Source organism: Homo sapiens, chromosome 3, assembly GCF_000001405.40.
Source record: "Homo sapiens chromosome 3, GRCh38.p14 Primary Assembly".
In the NCBI taxonomy this organism is placed as follows: domain Eukaryota; kingdom Metazoa; phylum Chordata; class Mammalia; order Primates; family Hominidae; genus Homo; species Homo sapiens.
Window position 1 is genome coordinate 125,570,008 of NC_000003.12, and position 22,012 is coordinate 125,592,019.

The 22,012-nt window shown below is 39.7% G+C and overlaps 1 protein-coding gene across 2 annotated transcripts in view, besides 2 other annotated features; it reads right to left on the reverse strand.

The window, feature by feature from the left end:
• OSBPL11 (oxysterol binding protein like 11) overlaps positions 1-22,012 on the reverse strand; it is a 66,640-nt gene that overhangs the window by 41,150 nt on the left and 3,478 nt on the right. For both annotated transcript variants that reach the window (NM_022776.5, XM_047447396.1), the window contains exons 2-5: positions 12,903-12,971; positions 9,858-10,033; positions 8,953-9,032; positions 6,182-6,358 (exon numbers count right to left, since the gene is read on the reverse strand). In NM_022776.5, the coding sequence (NP_073613.2) occupies positions 6,182-6,358; positions 8,953-9,032; positions 9,858-10,033; positions 12,903-12,971 (502 nt within the window). The remainder of the gene's footprint in view (positions 1-6,181; positions 6,359-8,952; positions 9,033-9,857; positions 10,034-12,902; positions 12,972-22,012) is intronic.
• Positions 9,614-9,758: an enhancer, noted in NCBI's record as "145 bp enhancer 180 fragment used in the MPRA reporter construct; PK_construct_675". NCBI's record gives its function as "activates an SV40 promoter by MPRA in HepG2 cells {active_cell/tissue: HepG2}" and the evidence as "EXISTENCE:reporter gene assay evidence [ECO:0000049][PMID:23512712]".
• Positions 9,679-9,692: a transcriptional cis regulatory region, noted in NCBI's record as "HNF1 motif; enhancer activity is reduced when this motif is scrambled". NCBI's record gives its function as "necessary for full MPRA enhancer 180 activity {active_cell/tissue: HepG2}" and the evidence as "EXISTENCE:site-directed mutagenesis evidence [ECO:0005528][PMID:23512712]".

A 22,012-nucleotide genomic window follows, 5' to 3' on the forward strand; every position in this document is an offset into this window, starting at 1 on the left:
TTGTGTACTTTTCTATAGTATGTTATAAGCCAATAAAAGTTTAACAAAGGAAAAAGAATCTTAAGACATTCACAGCATAATCAGAAGTCACAATATAAAAACACTTGAAAGAGAAAATAGTATGTTTCTTTGTGTAGAAGGCCCAAAAGAGCCACCTGCTAGTAATGGTGTTAGAAGTGGTCAAAGAAAGTAATGTTCTTAGCTAGAAAAAATAAAATTAAAAAAAATATAATTGTATCTTTGGGAGGCCAGGGTGGGAGGGTCACTTGAGGCCAGGAGTTCAAGACCATCCTGGGGAACACAGCAAGACACCCATCTCTAGCAAAAAAAAAAAAAAAGAAAGAAAGAAAAAAGAAAAAATAAGCTGTGTGTGGTGGTGTGTGCCTGTAATCCCAGCTACTTGGGAGGCTGAGGCGGGAGGACTACTTGAGCTCAAGAGTTCGAGGCTGCAGTGAGCTATGCACTCCAGCCTGGCAACAATGAGACACTGTCTCTCAAAAACAAAGTACATATATGATATGGTTTGGCTGTGTCCCCACCCAAATCTCATCTTGAATTTCTGTGTGTTGTGGGATAGACCCAGTGGGAGGTAACTGAATTATGGGGGAAGGTCTTTCCCATGCTGTTCTCATGATAGTGAATAAGTCTCATGAGATCTGATGGTTTTATAAAGAGGAGCTCCCCTGCACAAGTTCTCTCTCTTTGCCTGCTGCCATCCATGTAAGACGTGACTTGCTCCTCCTTGACTTCCGCCATGACTGTGAGGCCTCCCCAGCCATGTGGAACTGTAAGTCCATCCAACCTCTTTTTCTGTATAAATCACCCAGTCTCTGGTATGTCTTTATCAGAAGCATGAATATGGACTAATACAGTAAATTGGTACCGGAAGTGGGGAGCTGCTGAAAAGATACCCAAAAATGTGGAAGTGACTTTGGAACTGGGTAATAGGCAGAGGTTGGAACAGTTTGGAGGTCTCAGAAGAAGACAGGAAAATGTGGGAAAGTTTGGAACTCCCTAGAGACTTGTTGAATGGCTTTGCCCAAAATGCGGACAGCAATATGGACAATAGTGTCCAGGCTGAGGCGATCTCAGATGGAATTGAGGAACTTGTTGGGAACTGGAGCAAAGGTGACTCTTGTTAGGTTTTAGCAAAAAGACTGGTGGCATTTTGCCCCTGCCCTAGAGATCTGTGAAACTTTGAACTTGAGAGAGATGATTTAAGTATCTGGTGAAGAAATTTCTAAGCAGCAAAGCATTCAAGAGGTAACTTGGGTGTTGTTAAAGGCATTCATTTTTATAAGGGAAGTAGAGCATAAAAGTTCAGAAAATTTGCAGCCTGATGACACAATAGAAAAGAAAACCCCATTTTCTGAGGAGAAATTCAAGCTGGCTGCAGAAATTTGCATAAGTAACTAGGAGCTGAATGTTAACCCCCAAGACAATGGGGAAAATGTCTCCAGGGCATGCCAGAAGTCTTCATGGCAGACCCTCTCATCATAGGCCCGGAGGCCTAGCAGAAAAAAGTGGTTTCATGGGCCGGGCCTAGGGTCCCCATGCTGTGTGCAGCTTAGAGACTTGGTGCCCTGTGTCCCAGGTGCTCCAGCCATGGCTGAAAGGGGTCAACGTAGAGCTCGTCTGTGGCCTCAGAGGCTTCAGGTGCCTCAGGCCTTGGCAGCTTCCATGTGGTGTTGAGCCTGCTAGTGCACAGAAGTCAAGAATTGGGGTTTGGGAACCTCTGCCTAGATTTCAGAGAATGTAAGGAAACACCTGGATGCCCAGGCAGAGGTCTGCTGCAGGAGCAGGGCTGTCATGGAGAACCTCTGCTAGGGCAGTGTGGAGGGGAAATGTGAGGTCAGAGCCCCCACACAGAGTCCCTACTGGGGTACCACTGAGTAGAGCTGTGAGAAGAGGGCCGCTGTCCTCCAAAACTCAGAATGTTAGATCCACTGACAGCTTGTACCATGTGCCTGCAAAAGCCGCAGACACTCAATGCCAGCCCGTGAAAGCAGCCAGGAGGGAGGCTGTGCCCTGCAAAGCCACGGGGCGGAGCTGCCCAAGACCATGGGAACCCACCTCTTCCATCAGGGTGACCTGGATGTGAGACATGGAGTCAAAGGGGATCATTTTGGAGCTTTGACTGCCCTATTGGATTTCTGACTTGCATGGGGCCTGTAGCCCTTTTGTTTTGGCCTTTTTCTCCCATTTGGAATGGCTGTATTTATCCAATGCCTGTACCCCCATTATATCTAGGAAGTAGCTAACTTGCTTTTTATTTTACAGGCTCATAGGCAGAAGGGACTTGCCTTGTCTCAGATGAGACTTTGGACTGTGGACTTCTGAGTTAATGCTAAAATGCGTTAAGTCTTTGGGGGACTGTTGGGAAGGCATGATTAGTTTTGAAATGTGAGGAGATGAGATTTGGGAGGGGCCAGAGGCAGAATGATATGGTTTGGCTGTGTCCCCACCCAAATCTCATCTTGAATTCCCACATGTTGTAGGAGGGACCCAGTGGGAGGTAACTGAATCATCAGTGCAGGTCTTTCCCATGCTGTTCTTGTGATAGTGAATAAGTCTCACAAGATCTGATGGTTTTATAAAGAGGAGTTCCCCTGCACAAGTTTTCTCCCTTTGCCTGCTGCCATCCATGTAAGACGTGACTTGCTCCCCTCCTTGCCTTCCGCCATGATTGTGAGGCCTCTCCATTCATGTGGAACTGTAAGTCCATCCAACCTCTTTTTCTGTATAAATTACCCAGTCTCGGGTATGTCTTTATCAGCAGTATGAATATGGACTAATTATATATATATATATTTTTTATGTATACATATATATATTTTATTTATATATATTTATATATTTATATATATATTTTATATATATAAAATATGTACATATTATAAAGTGTGTGTATATATATACACACACACACATACTTTAAAGCAGACTGCAAGATATAAATATAGTAAGATATATATCTATAGTAAGATATATATAGTATATATAGTGTGTGTGTGTGTGTATATATATATAACTTGCAGTCTGCTTTAAAACAAAGTATATAATTATAGCATAAATGTTAAAAGTTGGTAATGGCTGTCTCCAAAACAAATTAGCTAATCAAATATATTCAAAGAAATGGAAAAGTGATTTGTGAAACTGTTTTAGTGATGGTTCCTTGATACTATAAAACCAGTTCCTTTTAAAAAAAAAAGAAAACTTCAAGAAAGCTGAAAACTTGGTGAACCTGTGTTTTGTAGCTAGAAATGGCAATTGTAGTGATAGGAGTATATCACTCAGGTGGCATATAATTTGTCTGAAAACCAAATTAGAATCGTGATTTTAATCACTTGTGTTTTAAGTTTCTGTCTCACTTACTAGAATGGTCATTTGAGTTACTCACAGGGCATGGCATAGTACCAGCATGAAGCATGGACTGAAAAGGAAGGGAACTGATAAGTAGTACTAATAAGAAAGAGTAAATAGGAAACAGATGATTTTAATAAAGTAAAGCTTTTGTAATAAATTCATTTTCAAGGACAGTATGATACTACTCACAAGAGTTAGCTGCTTTTAGGCCAGGTGCGGTGGCTCACGCCTGTAATCCCAGCACTTTGGGAGGCCGAGGCGGGTGGATCACCTGAGGTCAAGGGTTCAAAACCATCCTGGCCAACATGGAGAAACCCCATCTCTACTAAAAAAATACAAAATTAGCCGGGCATGGTGGATGCCTGCAGCATGCCTGTAATCTCAGCCATGTGGGAGGGTGAGGCAGGAGAATCACTTGAACCTGGGAGGCAGAGGTTGCAGTGAGCTGAAATTGTGCCATTGCACTCCAGCCTGGGCAACAAGAGCAAAACTCCGTCTCAAAAAAAAAAAAAAAAAAAAAAAAGGAGTTAACTGCTTTTACAAACTGCTACCTAATCTAACACTAAACTTACCCACAGATTTGATTAAAATGTTCGTTTCAAACTCACACCAATTTATATCTTTGCATCACAACCTCCTGGAACTGGATAATTCTAGAACAGTAATTCTCAAAGTGTGCTCTGCAGAGACCCCTGTGAGACTCCTTTCAGAGAGTCTGTGAAGTCAAACTATTTTTATAAGAATTCAAAGAAGTTATTTGCCTTTTTCACTGTGGTGACATCTGCATTAATGGCGTAAAAGCAATGGTGGGTAGAACTTCTGGAATGATAGTGAAAAGGCAGTGACACCAAACCCACTAGTGGTCACTGTATTCTTTACCTGCCATGAACTCACAGGAAAAAAAAAAAAAAGCCAATTTACTGAAGAATGTCCTTGTAAAGCAGTAAAAATCATTAAATTTACTACATCTTGACTCAACTACACATTTAAAAAATTCTCTATATAAAAAGTGGGAAGTACATATAAAGCACTTCTGTTGCATACCAATACACAGAGGTTGCCTAGAGAAAAAGCACTTCTGTGACTGACTTGTAAGCTGATTAGCAGTTTTTTTTTTTTTTTTTTCCTGTGGACTACTATTCAGATGTGAAAGAATGACAGAAAGAAACTATGGAGATTCAGGTTTGGGGAATGAGGTAGACATTTTCTCAAGATTGAATAAAATGAGGTTATCAATTAAAAAAAGACAGTATTTGTTACCAATTACAAAATTTGAGCTTTAAAATGAAAATCAGAATTTTGGACAACCATCTGGTATATCTGACAGCTTCCCAATACTTTTCTGATGACACTGGGGATGTTAATAAATATGAATTTTACTCACTGTATAATAATAAAATGGATCAATATTTGCAAGATATGCATAACTCTGTAAACTAATATCTCCAAAATGACTAATGCATGCCTGCACAGTGTTACAAAATCATGGATAGGTTAAAGATCCATTCAAAGTGCAGGACAGACCAATGGATTTTCATGTAACAAAATACAAAAAGTTCACCGATATATATTAGATTCCACACGGCATCTAACATTTAAGAAACTATCAGTTGTCAAGTTTTGGTATAGTAACAAAGAATAGCCACAATTATCTAAAAAGGCTATTACATGTTCCTCTTTTTTCCAAACACATTATCTGTGAATGGCCAAATTTTCATCCTGTAGTTCAACTAAAACAACATACTACAGTAGATTGAATACAGAAACGGATATGAGAATTCCGTTGTGTTCTGTAATATATATATTCTATATGTTCTATACATATATTTGGAACTTAATATTTAGAACTTAACAAACTGCGTGTTTTATTAACTAGAATTATTTGGTACACAGTTTAAAAGAAATGGTGATATAAGGCAACATCAAAGATTTAATGATTCTATATGTTTGAAATGTTCTATATATATATATCCATTTCTATATATACATATATCAGTTATATATATAAAAGTTTTTTGTTTGTTTTGTTTTGTTTTAGAGACAGGTCTTACTATGTTGCCCAGGCTGGTCTCAAACTCCTGGGCTCAGGCGATCCTCCTGTCTCAGCCTCCCAAAGTGCTGGAATTACAGGGATAAGACACCGCGACCTACCACTGTTTGTTTTTTTATTTTTTGAGACAGGGTTTCACTCTGCTACCCAGGCTGGAGTGCTGTGGCACAATCATAAATCACTGCAACCTCAAACTCCCAGGCTTAAGGAGTTCTCCCACCTCAGCCACTGGAGTAGCTGGTACGACAGGTGCACACCACCACCCCCAGCTAAAATTAAAAAAAAAAATTTTTTTTAGAGACGGGGTCTGGCTTTGTTGCCCAGGCTGGTCTCAAACTCCTGGGCTCCAGAAATCCTCCCACCTTGGCTTCCCAAAGTGCTGAGATTACAGGCTTGAGCCATCATGCCTGGCCTATATCAGTTTGTTTTTTTAAAGAATCACTTGTTTGGCTATACAGTCTTCCCACTAGGCTTAATTACCCTTTTGATCATAAAATTTACATAAAAGGAGTCTGTACTTTTACTTGAGAATTGAAAGATACACACTTTTGAAAAATGACCATGTACCTAGTACGTGACAGACATGAGGAAACTTAGGACACTATATATTAAGGGAATGTTTACGACTTAAAAATTATCTCAGCATACTAGATAGGAAACAATGAAGGCCCTTGAAGACACAAACAGTATTTAAGTTTTTTTGTGACAAAACCAAGCAGGTAAAATCATTTTGTGCATTTTAACTTGACTTTAATTCATACTTACTTCTCTGACTTCCACAAGATGGTCTGGAGGTAAATTAGTTCTTTTGCTCAGTGATTGCAGTTTGGAATGTCCAACATTAAAAAAAGAAATGGCATTTTGACTTGGTCTCCTCTGCGATATAGGAGAATTACTACTAGATGCAAGTGAGAAGCTCCGTGACTTCAGAGGAGGATTATTCTGTTAGACAAAGAAAATCATTCCTTTTGTTTTCTTCTTTAATTTAGGATTTCTAACCATCAAACTACCATACACTTAAGATTTACACATGAGCAGCGTTTAAAATTAAATTAACTTCAGAATTGACTATGAGAACATTTCCAAAGATAAAAATCTGAGATACTCAAAGTTTAAGCATTTTACATATCCCAAAGGAAACTGGTAATTTATTTAGAAAATTATTTTCCAGCTTTGTGCTGTCAAAAAATATTCTTTCACATTTTATAAATATTAGAATAACAAAGTTTCTAATTTCAGATTTTTTAAACACCATGAATTTTTTTTTTTTTTCTTTTTGAGACTGAGTCTCACACTGTCACCCAGGCTGGAGTGCAGTGGCGTGATCTTGGCTCACTGCAACCTCTGCTTCACAGATTCATGCGATTCCCCTGCCTCAGCCTCCTGAGTAGCTGGGATTACAGGCATGCACCACCATGCCCAGTTAATTTTTGTATGTTTAGTAGAGACAGGGTTTTGCCATGCTGGCCAGGCTGGTCTTGAACTCCTGATCTCAGGTGATCTGCCCACCTCAGCTTCCCGAAGTGCTGGGATTATAGGCATGAGCCACTGCGCCCGGCCTTAAACACCATGATTAACACAGAAAATGCACTCAGCAATATAATACATTTCCTAATGTAACATGCCAAGTATCCTTTGATACAAACTAGTACTTTCTCACTGACAATGACTAGAACCTTGCAGTATGAGAAAAGCCATTGTGTTGGATTTCCTGAAGACTAGGTTTTAGGCCGAAATTACAAACAGTTTTTAAAAATTCACTTCTGGGGGAAACCACCAGGAAGAACGATTAAAAAAAAAATAGTAAAAGCCAAGTTATCACCTAGGTACGAAATCCTTTAAATATGCTGCCCATATATTAATTTTTAGACATCTCTAACCTCAGATTTCAAGTAATGAGACTCTCCTTTCACCTTGAAAAATATTTTTAAAAACACTCCAAAGAAGATATACAAATGACTAACCAATAAGCACACGAAAAGGTGCTCAACATGATTAGTCATTAGTAAAATGAAATCAAAACCACAATAAGATTCCACTTCATATCCACTAAGATAACCATAATAATTTTTTTAAAGGACAATAACAAGTGTCGGCAAGGATGTACAGAAATTAGAACTCTCGCTGGGCGTGGTGGCTCACACCTGTAATCCCAGCACTTTGGGAGACTGAGGCAGGTGGATTGCCTGAGCTCAAGAGTTCGAGACCAGCCTGGCCAACATGGCGAAACCCCGTCTCTACCAAAAATACAAAAAATTAGCCGGGCGTGGTGGCAGGTGCCTGTAGTCCTAGCTACTTGGGAGGCTGTGGCAGGAGAATTGCTTAAACTCGGGAGGCGGTGGTTGCAGTGAGCTGATATCGTGCCACTGCACTCCAGCCTGGGTAACAGAGTGAGACTCCATCTCAAAAAAAAAAAGAAATTAAAAAAAGAAATTAGAACTCTCATATATTGTTGATGGGAATGTAAAAAAGTGTGGCCGCTTTGGAAAACAGTTTGGCAGTTCCTCAAAATGTTAAACATAGAACTATCACGTGATCCAGCAATTCTACTCCCAGACCCTAGAGAAATGAAATCATATGTTCACATAAAAACTTGAACACTTATAATGTTATTCATTAAAATAATGAATGTTTTCATTATGAAAACTTGAAAGTGTTCATGGCAGCATTATTCATAATGCCTACAAAATGAAAATAACCCAATGTCCACCAATTGATGGATTAAAAAAGTAGTATATCTATACAATAAAATATTACTCAGTCTTAAAAAAGGAATAAACGAATAAAGTACTGATACATGCAACAACACGGATGAACCTTGAAAACATGCTAAATGAAAGACACCAGATACAACAAACCCCATATTATATGGTTCAATTTACATAAAATGCCCAGAATAGACAAATCCATGGAATAGAAAAGAGAGTTTGCTAGGGGATTGGGAAGGAGAGAACAGGGAGTGACTGCTAGTGGCTCCGGATTTTTTATTTTTTTTGTGGGAGAGATGACAATGTTCTGAAATTAGAAAGCTGCAATTTGGCCAGGTGCGGTGGCTCACACCTGTAATTCCAGCACTTTGGGAAGCCAAGGTGGGCGGATCACTTGAGGTCAGGAGTTCGAGGCCAGCCTGGCCAACATTTTTAGTAAAGAAACAACTTTTTTTAGTAAAGAAACCTGTCTTGACTAAAAGTACAAAAATAAGCTGGGTGTGGTGGTGTGTGCCTGTAGTCCCAGCTACTTGGGAGGCTGAGACAGGAAAATCACTTGAACCCGGGAGGCAGAGGTTGCAGTGAGACAAGATTGCGCCACTGCACTCTAGCCTGGGCCACAGAGAGAGACTCCGTCTCAAAAAAAAAAAGAAAGTTACAATGGTTGAACCACCTTGTGAATATACTAAAAACCACAGGATTATACGTATATACTTTAAAAGGGTGAATTTTACGGTATATGAATAGTATCTCAATTTTAAAAGGCAAAAAATAAAAAATATTCCTTCCTCATTTTTGTATATTAATATTGTATATAAATCTACATACCTTTCCAATAGCTTCAGTATGATGCTGTGTACATATCTGAAGTCTGCTAACCCAGTGCTGTCGCTCTTTTGCATCTGTAGCTGTTAAAAGAATGTAAAAATTATTTTATATTTATTTATTCTGGAACACAATTAATTGCCTACAGTATGAAGATCAGATCACTGAAAAGCAGATACTGGTCTTACTCTCACTAGAGCAAACTTCCCTGACTGGAGGGAGGCAGGAAAGAGGCCAAAGCACCAACGTTGTTAGGGAACACAGTAGCTGGATGTAGTTACTTCATTAAAAGGAGAAATTACATGCAGTGAGGTGAGGATGAGAGACTGACATGTTGCAACTCATAAAAATAGGTTCTTATTTAAAGAAATAACCCCTTAATTATTTGATGTATAATCAATACTTTCAGATCTGCAGGAGCACGCTCACTTAGGATTACCATTATACTTTGTGTATTCATTAAATAAAAAACTTCTACACAAATTAAATTTATCTTAACAGAAGTTATACGTTATTTTAATGAATGACATTATAATAAATCCCAATAATGTACATTAGTTACTGAAAACTGCAAAAAGGGCACGTAAACTAAACCAAGTAAAGGGGTGAAATACATAAAAAATATCATTTAAAGTCTATGTTTCTAGATTTTCAGTAATCAGAGTTTCACCTACACCGTTTTTCAGAGGGGCCAGTCCTAAACAAACATACATTGTCCCACTTGAAAACAGTTACTTATTACAAAAGATTTCATAAATTCTCAAAGCAGTTCCAAGGTTCAGAATATTGTATTTACATCACTGATGACAGCAGTTTCTATTTCCAAAGCCCATATGAAAGCATGTAAGACACCAACTTCTCAAAAAAAGAGGAAAATCACAGTATTAATTCTCATATTTTGGTCATACCTCTGAGTTTATATTGTTCCCCACTGGCAGCGTTTACAGTGAAGGTGTGAGAATCCTCATCACTGGGTGATATTACAGCTCCTGCAAGCTGCAAAGTTCCTCTAGGTTTCTGATTTCTAGACTGTTCATTCACAAAGTACTCCAACAGCCCAGCTTCATTGTTTAAAACAAAAAACCTGTAATGATTTTTTAAAATCCATAATTTGTAAACATTTTCCCTCAGCAAACTAAAGCAAAGCAAACTTCAATCACTTACACATTTCAGGGTTTTGCTCTTAAAAATAAAATTTAAAAGCATTTCAAGAGGTACCTGGAAACACTACACTGAATTTTCCAGCAGGGAAGATTACTAAAAATCGAATGAGTTAGGCCAGGCGCAGTGGCTCACGCCTCTAATCCCAGCACTTTGGGAGGCAGAGGCGAGCGGATCACCTGAGGTCAGGAGTTCGAGATCAGCCTGGCCAACATGGTGAAACCCCATCTCTACTAAAAATACAAAATTAGCCAGGTGTGGTGGTGCATGCCTGTAATCCCAGCTACTCGGGAGGCTGAGGCAGGAAAATCGCTTGAATCTGGGAGGCAGCGGTTGCACTGCACTAAGATCGAGCCACTGCACTCCAGCCTGGGCAAAAAGAGCAAAACTCCGTCTCAAAAAAAAAAAAAAAAAAAAAAAAAAATTGAATGAGTTTAATAAAAGATATAATAAACCCTTCAGCTGAGGGAGAGGCATTTATTAAGAGGCCTATCAGTTAATGCACAAAAGGAAGCAAAGATACCATATCCTTTCAGAGACAGATTTTTCCCCAGAATTCATTAACAGAGGGTAAACTGCCAAAGGACAAATGGTAGTGAAAATTTTTCTTTAAAATTCACCGGAAATAAATCAAAATATGAGCTCTGAGGTTAAGGCAAGATATACTAGGCAAGATATGCATTGTGATTTAAGAATTAGTGAAATATACAACAAGAATAACAGGGTAAAAAAGATTTTGTGAATGAATCATTAAATAAGTCAAAACTAAAGATTACTTCTCCTGTTTAAAAATGAAAAAGCTGCAATTGGAGATGCTGAAACATAAGGACCTTGAAACTAAATGATGAAATGCTGATACACTCTGGAAAAGAATTTGATGAAATACTAATACACTTTGGAAAAAAAAATTCTGATTTGGTTCTAGATTAACTACTTTCAAAAATACATTTCAGAAATTCCAATTTAAGTAGTGTAATAATTTTTTTTTTTTTTGAGATGGAGTCGTGCTCTGTTGCCCAGGCTGGAGTGCAGTGGCACCACCTTGACTCACTGCAACCTCTGCCTCCCAGGTTCAAGCGATTCTCATGCCTCAGCTCCCAAGTACCTGGGATTACAGGCGCCCACCACCATGCCCAGCTAATTTTTGTATTTTTCGTAGAGATGGAGTTTTGCCATGTTGGCCAGACTGATCTCAAACTCCTGAACTCAGGCGATCCTCCCGCCTCGGCCTCCCAAAGTGCTTGGATTACAGGTGTGAGTCACCTCATCTGGCCCCTTTTTAAAAAAGGAACGCTAGGCCAGACACGGTGGCACACACCTGTAATCCCAGCACTTTGGGAGGCCAAGGCGGGTGGACTGCCTGAGCTTAGGAGTTTGAGACCAGGCTGGGCAACACGGTGAAACCCCGTCTCTACTAAAATACAAAAAACTAGCTGGGCGAGGTGGCGTGCACCTGTAATCCCAGCTACTTGGGAGGCTGAGACAGAAGAATCACATGAACCCTGGAGGCAGAGGTTGCGGTGAGCTGAGATTGCACCACTACACTGCAGCCTAGGTGACAGAGTGAGACTCCATCTCAAAAAAAAAAAAAAAAAAAAAAAAGTAACTCTAAAAAGGGCTGGATGAGTTGAGATTGCTTGAATCCAGGAGTTCGAGACCAGTCTGGCCAACATGGCAAAACCCTGTCTTTACAAAAAAAAATACAGAAATTAGATGGGTGTGGTGGTGCATGCCTGTAGCTCCAGCTACTTAGGAGGCTGGGGCAGGAGGATGATTTCAGCCCGAGGTGGAGGTTACAGTGAGCTGAGATCATGCCACTATACTCCAGCCTGGGCAACAGAGCAAGACCCTGTCTCAAAAATAATTAATTAATTAATTAATATAAAATAAAAAGTAACTCTAAAAAGTTTTAAACTTTTAAAATTCATGTTGGGTGGCCAGGTGTGGTGGCTCACGCCTGTGATCCCTGCACTTTGGGAGGCCAAGACGGGTAGATCACCTGAAGTCAGGAATTCGAGACCAGCCTGACCAACATGGTGAAACCCCGTCTCTATTAAAAATACAAAAATTAGCTGGGTATGGTGGCGCATGCCTGTAATTCCAGCTACTCAGGAGGCTGAGACAGAAGAATCACTTGAACCCCGGAGGCAGAGGTTACAGTGAGCCGAGATCATGCCATTGCACTCCAGCTGGGTGACAGAGCGAGACTCCGTCTCAAAAAAAAAAAAAAAATTCATGTTTGGGTTTGGAGAAGTCTGGCATTCTACGTTAGCCTGTTCTATAATAGAACTTGGTAGACAATTTGATCCCGTTTAATATGCCTGCCCCACAACTACAATTCTATAAAGTATTTGAGATAGCTGGTTTTCCTGCTTCCTGACAGCTTGTGTGACCCTTGGCTGGTTACTTAACCTCTTCAAGATCCCAGAGAAGCTGTGAATCTGGCATAAGATGGGAACCTAACACAAATGTGTTTGCTGTCTCCAAACCCCTATTTCTCTTCCCCTAAGAACCTAACTTCTGCAAGTATACAATGCCCAAGCCAGGTAACAAGTGATTCTAATCCTCATTTAATAGTAACATCTGAGGCATTTAGAGGCTGCTACTTGGACAGATGTCAACTTTTCCCACCCTCTAAGAAGAAGTCACCAAACTTTTAGAAGCTGTGGGAAATCCTTCTCTAAAAGGTTTCCCAGCCATGTCTGTCTAAAGTAATATCAAAATATAAAATTATTGGGCCCTATTCCTGCTCTCTTAGGAGAGACTGATGTGACACAAATAATCACACTTACCTGTACTGCCACCCAGTGACAAGGTTGGTATACTTCATTAAATAGCCATACACATTTTCCATGTGATCACTATTTCAAAATGAAAAAGCCAAAGTTAGTAAAAATTAGAAGAAATCCCAGGAGGATAATGGTACAATTTTCAAAATAGCTGCAGATACATATATGCTCTATAAATGCCTCAAATTTTATTGAGAAGTAAAATGTATAGGTCAACAGAGGCATTTAATCTCCCAAATTTCATATCTATAGGACTTCATCAATTTCCTCAAAACAAGTACAATACCTCATAAATTATATATTATTATAAATATTCCAAATGTAAAATCATTATACAAATATAAAATTACATAAACATAAAACAAATATACTATAAGTATTATAAGTGGGATGGCCGGGCACAGTGGCTCGAACCTGTAATCCCAGCACTTTGGGAGGCCAAGGCAGGAGGATCACTTGAGGTCAGGAGTTCAAGACCAGCCTGGTCAACATGGCGAAAACCCATCTCTACTAAAAATACAAAAATTCATCGGGCGTGGTGGTGTGTGCCTGTAGTCCCAGCTACTTGGGAGGCTGAGGCAGGAGAATCACTTGAACCCAGGAGGTGGAGGCTGCAATGAGCTGAGATCTCACCACTGCACTCCAGCCTGGGCAACAGAGTGAGACTCCGTCTCCAAAAAAAAAAAAAAAAAAAAAAAAAAGGGCTGAGTGCAGTGGCTCACACATGTAATCCCAACACTTTGGGAGATCAAGATAGGGGGATCACTTGAGCCCAGGAGTTTGAAACCAGACTGGGCAACATAATGAGACACTGTCTCTCTTTATTAAATACGTAAAATAAATAAATAAGAATAATAAATAAAGCCCACAACTAGAGGAAAGAATTCTTCTGTAGAAATACAGCCACTTGGGTTTCTGCTAGAGTTCTTATACTTCCGGCCCAGGTCGCAATCAAGTTGTTTATTTCAGTTATTTTGAGATACATTGCTTAGAAAAGCAGAGAGCTATATTTTTTGTTTGGCTCCCCTATCTTCCCCAGGCTTCAGGCTTAAGCAGCTCTTTGAGGCCATAGAAAACCCAATGCCCCAGACTCTGTCTCAAAAAAATTCCCTAAAGAGCTCCTCCTCTGTTTTAGGTACTTAGTACACAGCTCAGCTTCCCGAAAAACTTATTCTTGGCCGGGCATGGCAGCTCACGCCTGTAATCCCAGCACTTTTGGAGGCCGGGGCAGGTGGATCACCTAAGGTCAGGAGTTCGAGACCAGCCTGGCCAACATGGTGAAACCCCATCTCAACAAAAAATACAAAAAATTAGCCAGGTGTGGTGGCACGTGCCTGTAATCCCAGCTACTTGTGAGGCTGAGGCAGGAGAATCGCTTGAACCCAGGAGGCAGAGGTTACAGTGAGCCGAGACTGCACCACTGCACTCCAACCCGGGTGGCAGAGTGAGACTCCATCATAAACAAAAACAAAAATAAAAAAACAGAAAAACTTACTCTTTCTCCATTCTGTCCAGTTGCTCCATAATCTGAATATTTGCTTACATTCTGCATCAATCCATAAGAGGTTTGAGGTAGTATACAACCTAAATATTTTCTCAAAGTGCCAAGATATTTCATAATTCGCCATTTTGGGAACTACTCTTTAATCTAGGTTCTCTACACCAAGCTTTCATTACTACATAAATGTCAAGTCATAGCCATTAGCATGTAATAAAAAATATCACAACTGAGTTACAGTTCAATTCCTCTGGCTTTAAGACTGTATGTATTCTTCAAATGTATGTGAACTATGGGGCAAAACCTTCTTAAAACCTTATATATACTTACCTATACCTGAGAAAAACAAAATTTTTATTTCAAAGCAATAAACAAAATACATCATCTTTATTTAGTCACTACTCTCATATTACTGAAGGTACTCCCCATTTTGGTCATATCTAATTATCTATATCACTCATTTAACAGCTCAAGTGACCCTCCTACCTCAGCATCTGAGTAGCTGCAACTACAGGAACGTACAACCATGCCCAGTTAATTTTTAATTATTTTTGTGGGGATGGGGGGGTCTCACTATGTTGCCCAGGCTGCTCTCAAACTCCTGGGCTCAAGCGATCTTTCCACTTTGGCTTCCTAAAGTGTTGGGATTACAGGCATGAGCCACAAATTTTTTAAAGTGTACAATTTCAGTAACATCAATCGCTAAAAAGATCCCACGTGTATCTCTTTTTTTTATTTTTAATTGCGACAGAGTCTCGCTCTTTTGCCTAGGCTGGAGTGCAGTGGTGTGATCTCAGCTCACTGCAACCTTCGCCTCTGGGGCTCATGCGATTTTTCTGCCTCTGCCTGCCAAGTAGCTGGGACTACAGGCACCTGCTACCATGCCCACCTAATTTTTGTATTTTTAGTAGAGATGGAGTTTCGTAAAGATGGGTTGGCCAGGCTGGTCTCAAACTCCTAGCCTCAAGTGATCAGCCTGCCTCAGCCTCCCAAAGTGCTGGGATTATAGGTATGAGCCACTGTACCTGGCTCTAAGTGTATCTTCATATTTCACATCATAGTAATGTTCTGTTTAATTTTCTAATGTTATTAATATTTTGCTGATTCATATATCTAAAGAGTTAGCTTTCTGAAAAAAAAAAAAACAAAACTATAAGGATATTGACATGGTTTATTTGGTAGTAGCATAAAGTTAGTTTCAAAAGAGGCAGAAATTCAAGTAAGTAAACTGCTGGCTTATTTTTATTATATAAAACAGCTGTCTCCAGGTTACAAAGAACCAACTTGAAAACATCCTATTCTTTGGAACAGCTGGTTGCAATGTCCCTCCCTCATTCTTCCCCTTTTCCATGTATCCCAAGAAATAGCCACTATCGAAGGCAACCAGCTGGTGTGGAACAACTGTGCCATCTGGTGGTCAGCATAAAAAGTGCTCTGTGACTGAACATCTGATTCACACTTTCTTTTCTTCTACTGTCTTATAATTGAGTTACTACACAGTATCTCTAACTCTCATGCTTTATTCCTATCTAAAATGTGTGAATTTTCAGGGCCTGGTGTAGTGCCTCATGCCTGTAATCTCAACACTTTGGGAGGCCAAGGTGGGACAATTCCTTGAGTCCAGGAGTTTGAGACCAGCCTGGGCAACATAGGGAGACCCACCCCATCTCTAAAAACAGTAAATAAAATAAAATGTGCAAATTTTTATAGAATATTTTTAATGTGTGTCTGTTAATATTAATAAAATCTAGCTACTGAAGTGGGAACATACCACATATCTGATTATATTATACTATTTTGTGTTCTATAAAATAGAAGTGATGGTCCAAAACAGACTAATACACTAAAAAATAAGCTATGATAAAGTTAATTTCTTCTTCAGTCCTCCAAAAACTTCACTGCTCAAGAAACTGGGTATATTTCTAATCTTTTAAACTTGTTAACATTTAATTGGGATTAGTAGTGGAAGCTGATAGTCTATAAAAATAACTGATTAAACTGTGCTAAGTGGCTTTATTATATTGTGTTTAGTTTGATACTCATTTTCTCTTAAATATCTTAAAAATAACTGCTTCAATTCTTTAATCTCCATTACTATAACATACATATTTCTTTTTTTTTTTTTTGAGATGGAGTCTCGCTCTGTCACCCAGGCTGGAGAGCAGTGGTGCAATCTTGGCTCACTACAACCTCCGCCTGCTGTGTTCAAGTGATTCTCCTGCCTCAGCCTCCCGAGTAGCTGGGAGTACAGGTGCGTGTGTGCCACCATGCCTGGCTACTTTTTCTATTTGTAGTAGAGACGGGGTTTCATCATGTTGGTCAGGCTGGTCTCGAACTCCTGACCTCGTGATCCGCCTGCCTCGGCTTCCCAAAGTGCTGGGATTATAGGCGTGAGCCACCGTGCCCGGCAATATACTTATTTCTCAACCTTTCTTTATCAGACTTAAGATAGATAAAAGTTTTTAAAATTAAGCTACCTTTTAAACAGTTTCAAATCCTTTCAACTCAAAACAATTACTCAATACCTACTAAAGCACAGCACTCTGAAAAACCATTGAAAAGCATAAGAAAATCAAAAAGGCAATAACTAATAACTCTCCATCTCAAATCTATAATCTAATCTAAGAGAAATATATCTCCTTGAAGAAAAAGGCAGTAACATGGGTTCCTGCTACTGGAAAAGACACACAATGGGACTACATTTGCAGCTGCCATACAAATAAAAAAGGCATTAAACAAATACAGAGGATTCAGTAGTGAGTGAGAAGGCTGAAATGACTAGATTTGATGACTGATTAGATGTGAAGTGAGACAGAAAGAATGAAAGTGAGAGAGAAAGGACAAGAGCAACACTCAGATTTCCAGCTGGAACAACTGGGTGGATAACTAATGCCTTCACTGAGATAGGGATCGCAGAGAAATTTTGGATTTGTTCCAACTTAAGATGTTAAATTTAATGAACCTGCAGGACTATACAGGGAGATATCCAGTAAGGCAGCATGATTAGGGCTTGGTAGTCATCAGCATATAAGCATATAACTGGTATTTGAAGTTACAGCAGTAAATAAGGTCACTCAGGAAGTATTACGAAATGGCAAGAGATGGGCAGGGTCTAAGAGAGATCTCTAAGGAAAAGTTTTAAGGGCAAGGGGAATACAGAGAAGAAATCAGGAACAACTGAGTAGTGGGAAGAAAACTAGGAGTATGGAAAGACAGAAACCAGAGAAAGTGTTTCAAGATAAGTCTGTGGTCAAGAATATTCAGTGGGCAGGTGCCTTCACTCACACCTGTAATCCCAGCACTTTGGGAGGATCACTTGAGCCAGGAGTTTGAGACCAGCCTGGGCATCACAGTGAGATCCTGTCTCTACAAAAAAAATTAAAAATTAGCCAGGCAGGGTGGCACACACCTGTAATCCCAGCTACTCAGGACACTGAGATGGGAGGATTGCTTGAGCCCAGGAAGTGGAGGCTGCAGGGAGCTGCAATCGTGCCATTGCACTCCAGCCTGGGAAACAGAGCAAGACTCTGTCTCAGGCCAGGCACAGTGGCTCATGCCTATAATCCCAGCACTTTGGGAGGCTGAGGTGGGTGGATCACTTGAGGTCAGGAGTTCAAAACCAGCCTAGCCAACATGGTAAAACCCTATCTCTACTAAAAATACAAAAATTAGCTGGGCGTGGTGGTGCATGCCTGTAGTCCCAGCTACTTGGGAGGCTGAGGCAGGAGAATTGCTTGAAACTGGGAGGCGGAGGTTTCACTGAGCCAAGATCCTGCCACTGTACTCCAGGCTGGGCGTCAGAGTAAGACCCTGTCTCAAAAAAAAAAAAAAAAAAAAAGAGAAGTTCAGTGCTACTGATAAAGTAAGATATGACAAAGACTGAGAAGACTCATTAGACTTAAAACCCAGAGATAACAGTTTAATGGAATGATGAGGGCAGTCAGCTGGAAGTAACATCAGAGGTTGACGATAATGTCAAGAGGTTCTCCAGCTTGTAGACAACTGAGCTATGGGATTTCTCAGGCTCCACAGTCATATGAGCCAATTCCTCATAATCTCTCTCTATATATATCTACCTATTGGTTCTATTTTCCTGGAAAAGCCAAATAGCGATACCTTAAGGTATTTAACTACAGGCAGGAATCCAAGTTGTAGTCAGTAAATATGAGGTACCAGGCAAGTCACATGTCAAAATCCATACTTTCAACTAGGCAAAAAGTATCCTCCCAAAAGGCTTAGCACTTTGGTCCATTCTCTGGATAAGAAATAGCATGAAGCGGGGAGTGGCTTGCTTAGCTGAGGAAAAGGCTAATGACATTAAGAGATATTCCTCGCAACAGCTAGTGTGTAGCCTGGGATATAATGTTTATTTGCTGAATGAATTAAGCAATGGGAAGAAAGAAACAGAATTTTTCTATGAAGCCATGAGGCAATTCTCAGTAACCTGCCCACCTCCTCCCCAAAAAATTCAACTCGCAGACTGTATACTCAAAATCGCAAACAAAATAAAGTCTAACTGTATTTTAATCTATGACAAAAAGTATAAAGTCAAGAGAGGGGTCCTCCCTCCTGCCAAGAGTCTTAAAAATGTTAGCACTCTTTGGCCCTAGAATTTCACTTTTAGGTATCCCATCTATGACAAATGATTAGAAATGTAGACAAAGCCGGGTGCGGTGGCTCACGCCTGTAATCCCAGTACTTTAAGAGGCCTAGGCAGGCAGATCGCCTGAGGTCAGGAGTTCGAAATCAGCCTGGCCAACATGGTGGAACCCCGTCTCTACCAAAAATATAAGAATTAGCCGGGTGGCACCTGCCTGTACCCAGCTACTCGGGAGACTGAGGCACAAGAATCGCTTGAACCCAGGAGGCAGAGGTTGTGGTGAGCCAAGATTGCACCATTGTGCTCTAGCCTGGGCAACAAGAGTGAAACTCCATCTCAAAAAAAAAAAAAAAAAACAAAACAGAAAAGATATGTAGTGCAAAAATGTAAGGAAACTAAGAAATCACAGCACATTATTAATAAACCAACTCTTGCTCCTCAAGACTTGGTATATTTTTAACTAGATTTTGGAATAATATTTTATAGTTTCCAGTTACATGCCTACAATTATCTTTCTCTTGTTTTTACCAGCATCTATAGCAGATGTCAGATACAGAAAACAAAAACTAGAGTGTAGAAATATGTATCAATTTTCCTTTAACCCCTGCAGAGGAAAAAAAAAAAAAAAGCAGACATTTATGACTTTTTCTTCAAATCAACTCAGAAGAAGAGGTAAAACCTCTAAGACCATGAACATTCATTTATATTTAGGCCAATCTCATTTTCCCATCCGCGAACAGGCACTTTTCCTTATAATAGTATTGACAGTGGAAGAAACCACAAAATTATTGTGGTCTGACCACAAAAATTATTTCTATACTACACATTTGCAGACTTTTACACATTTACTGAAAAGTATAGCTGTTTGCTAATGAGGAAAATAGATTTATCTGTTAATATGATTAGCCAGTGAGGAGCTCAAAATTTTAAAAAAAAGCAGGCCATCAAACACCCTGGTTTGTCTTTCAGTTCCTCTTTTGAATAGTTCTCTTCTGCCCATTTTAATAAGCAGGTGGCATATTTGCAGATTTGTGAATTTCTCTACAAGCTGACATGAAGAATACAAAAATAATGAAAACATGCATATTTTATAAAGTGTGAATATTCACTATGAAAAAGGAAGGAAAGACCCAGAACTGGGAAATCTATCTTCTCTGTAAATGGTAAAGAAAGCTCACATCATATGAATATAAATTACTCTGGAAACAAGAAAATACAAGGCTAATCTAATAAATTAAGTTCTTAAGTTTAATTTTTCAAAAGGGCCAGGCACGGTGGCTCACGCCTGTAATCCTAGTACTTCAGGAGGCCGAAGTGGGTGGATCACTTGAGGTCAGGAGTTTGAGACCAGCCTGGCCAACATGGTGAAACCTCATCTCTACTAAAAATACAAAAATCAGCCGGGTGTGGTGGCAAGTGCCTGTGGTCCCAGCTACTTGGGAAGCTGAGGCAGGAGAATCGCTTGGACTTGAACCTGGGAGGCAGAGGTTGCAGTGAGCTAAGATCTGCCACCGCACTCCAGCCTGCACAAGAGGACCAGACTCTGTCTCAAAAAAAAAATTTTTTTTTTCAAAAGGTCATCATGAGATTGTTTTGTAAATGCCACTGATGCCCTTCCTTTTCCTGATTATTTTGATGATCCTCCTAAAATAAGCCTTAGAATTCATTCTTTCGTTGTTTTGGGTGTGCACATTAATTTGGCATTAATAAAAGAGTGCTTCAGACATAGTAGAGACTCAAAAATATTTGCTACATAAGTTAGAACATGAGTAAACCATAAAACCAACCATGTACCAAACTAGTTATTATCAATAATTATTCATTCCTTTTAGAGAGTTTATCTACTTTTAATACCTCTATGTAAATATCTATCTAGAAATAAAAGTTCTCCCACTTACTAGCTATGTAACCTTAGCTACATGCAATATATAACTTCATGTACTATATTGCCTAAGTCTATATTGTCATTTAGACTTAGGTTTTCTTCAACTGCAAAACAGGAATAATAATGCTGTATCTTCCTCCAGAGTTGGGAGGATTAAATGTGATAACAGATGTGAAAACATTCTGGATAATGTAAAGACAATTATCTACATTTCCAATACTCCATATCTCTGAGGACTGGCTAGATAAGACACTTAAACATTCTGGCAACTTTAGCTGGACATACCTAAAACCAGATACATAATTTGACTCCCCAAGTCCGTTTTCCCCTCTAGTCTTTACAATCTTGAGTCTATTATATTAACTGCCTAGGCATTTTCTGGCATAAATCCCAATAATCCCCACCTGCTGGTATTCTCACACCCTTGTGTGGGACTTGTTTCTGAAGAACAGTGAAAAGTGATGTGAATTCACCTCAGTGCTTAGGTTACAAAAGACTGTTAACTTCTCTCCAGGTAGCACTCTCTAGTCCTCTTACCTCCTCATTCTCAAGAAACAAGCTGCCAAGTTGTAAGATGCTCTGTGAAGAAGCCCATGTGGCCAGTGAACAAAGGAGGTCTCTGGCCATCAGTTCATGAGGAACTGAGTTTTTTGTCCAATGGGCCAAAAGGAACTGAATTGCACCAAGAGTCTCATGAATCAGCTAGGAAATGAATCCTTCCCAGTTCAGTCTTAAGAAAGACTCAGAGCCAGAAGACCCAGCTAAGCTGCACTGAGATTCCTGACCCAAAGACACTATGAAATAATAAATGCTGCTAATATATTAAATTTGGGGGTAATTTGTAATGCAGTAGTAGATACACTATCTCACACTGTATTTCAAAATAAATTCCAGATAGATTAAAAAGTTAAATATGAGCCTGGGCAACATCGCAAGATCCTGCCTCTAGAAAAAAATTTTAAAATTAGCTGGGCATGGTGGTGTACACCTGTAGTCCCAGCTATTCCAGAAGCTGAATAGGAGGATCACTTGAGCCTAGCAGTTCAAGGCTGCAGTGAGCTATGATGGAGACACCACACTCAACCCTGGGAGACAGAGAGAGACCTTGTCTCAAAAAAAAAAGTTAAATT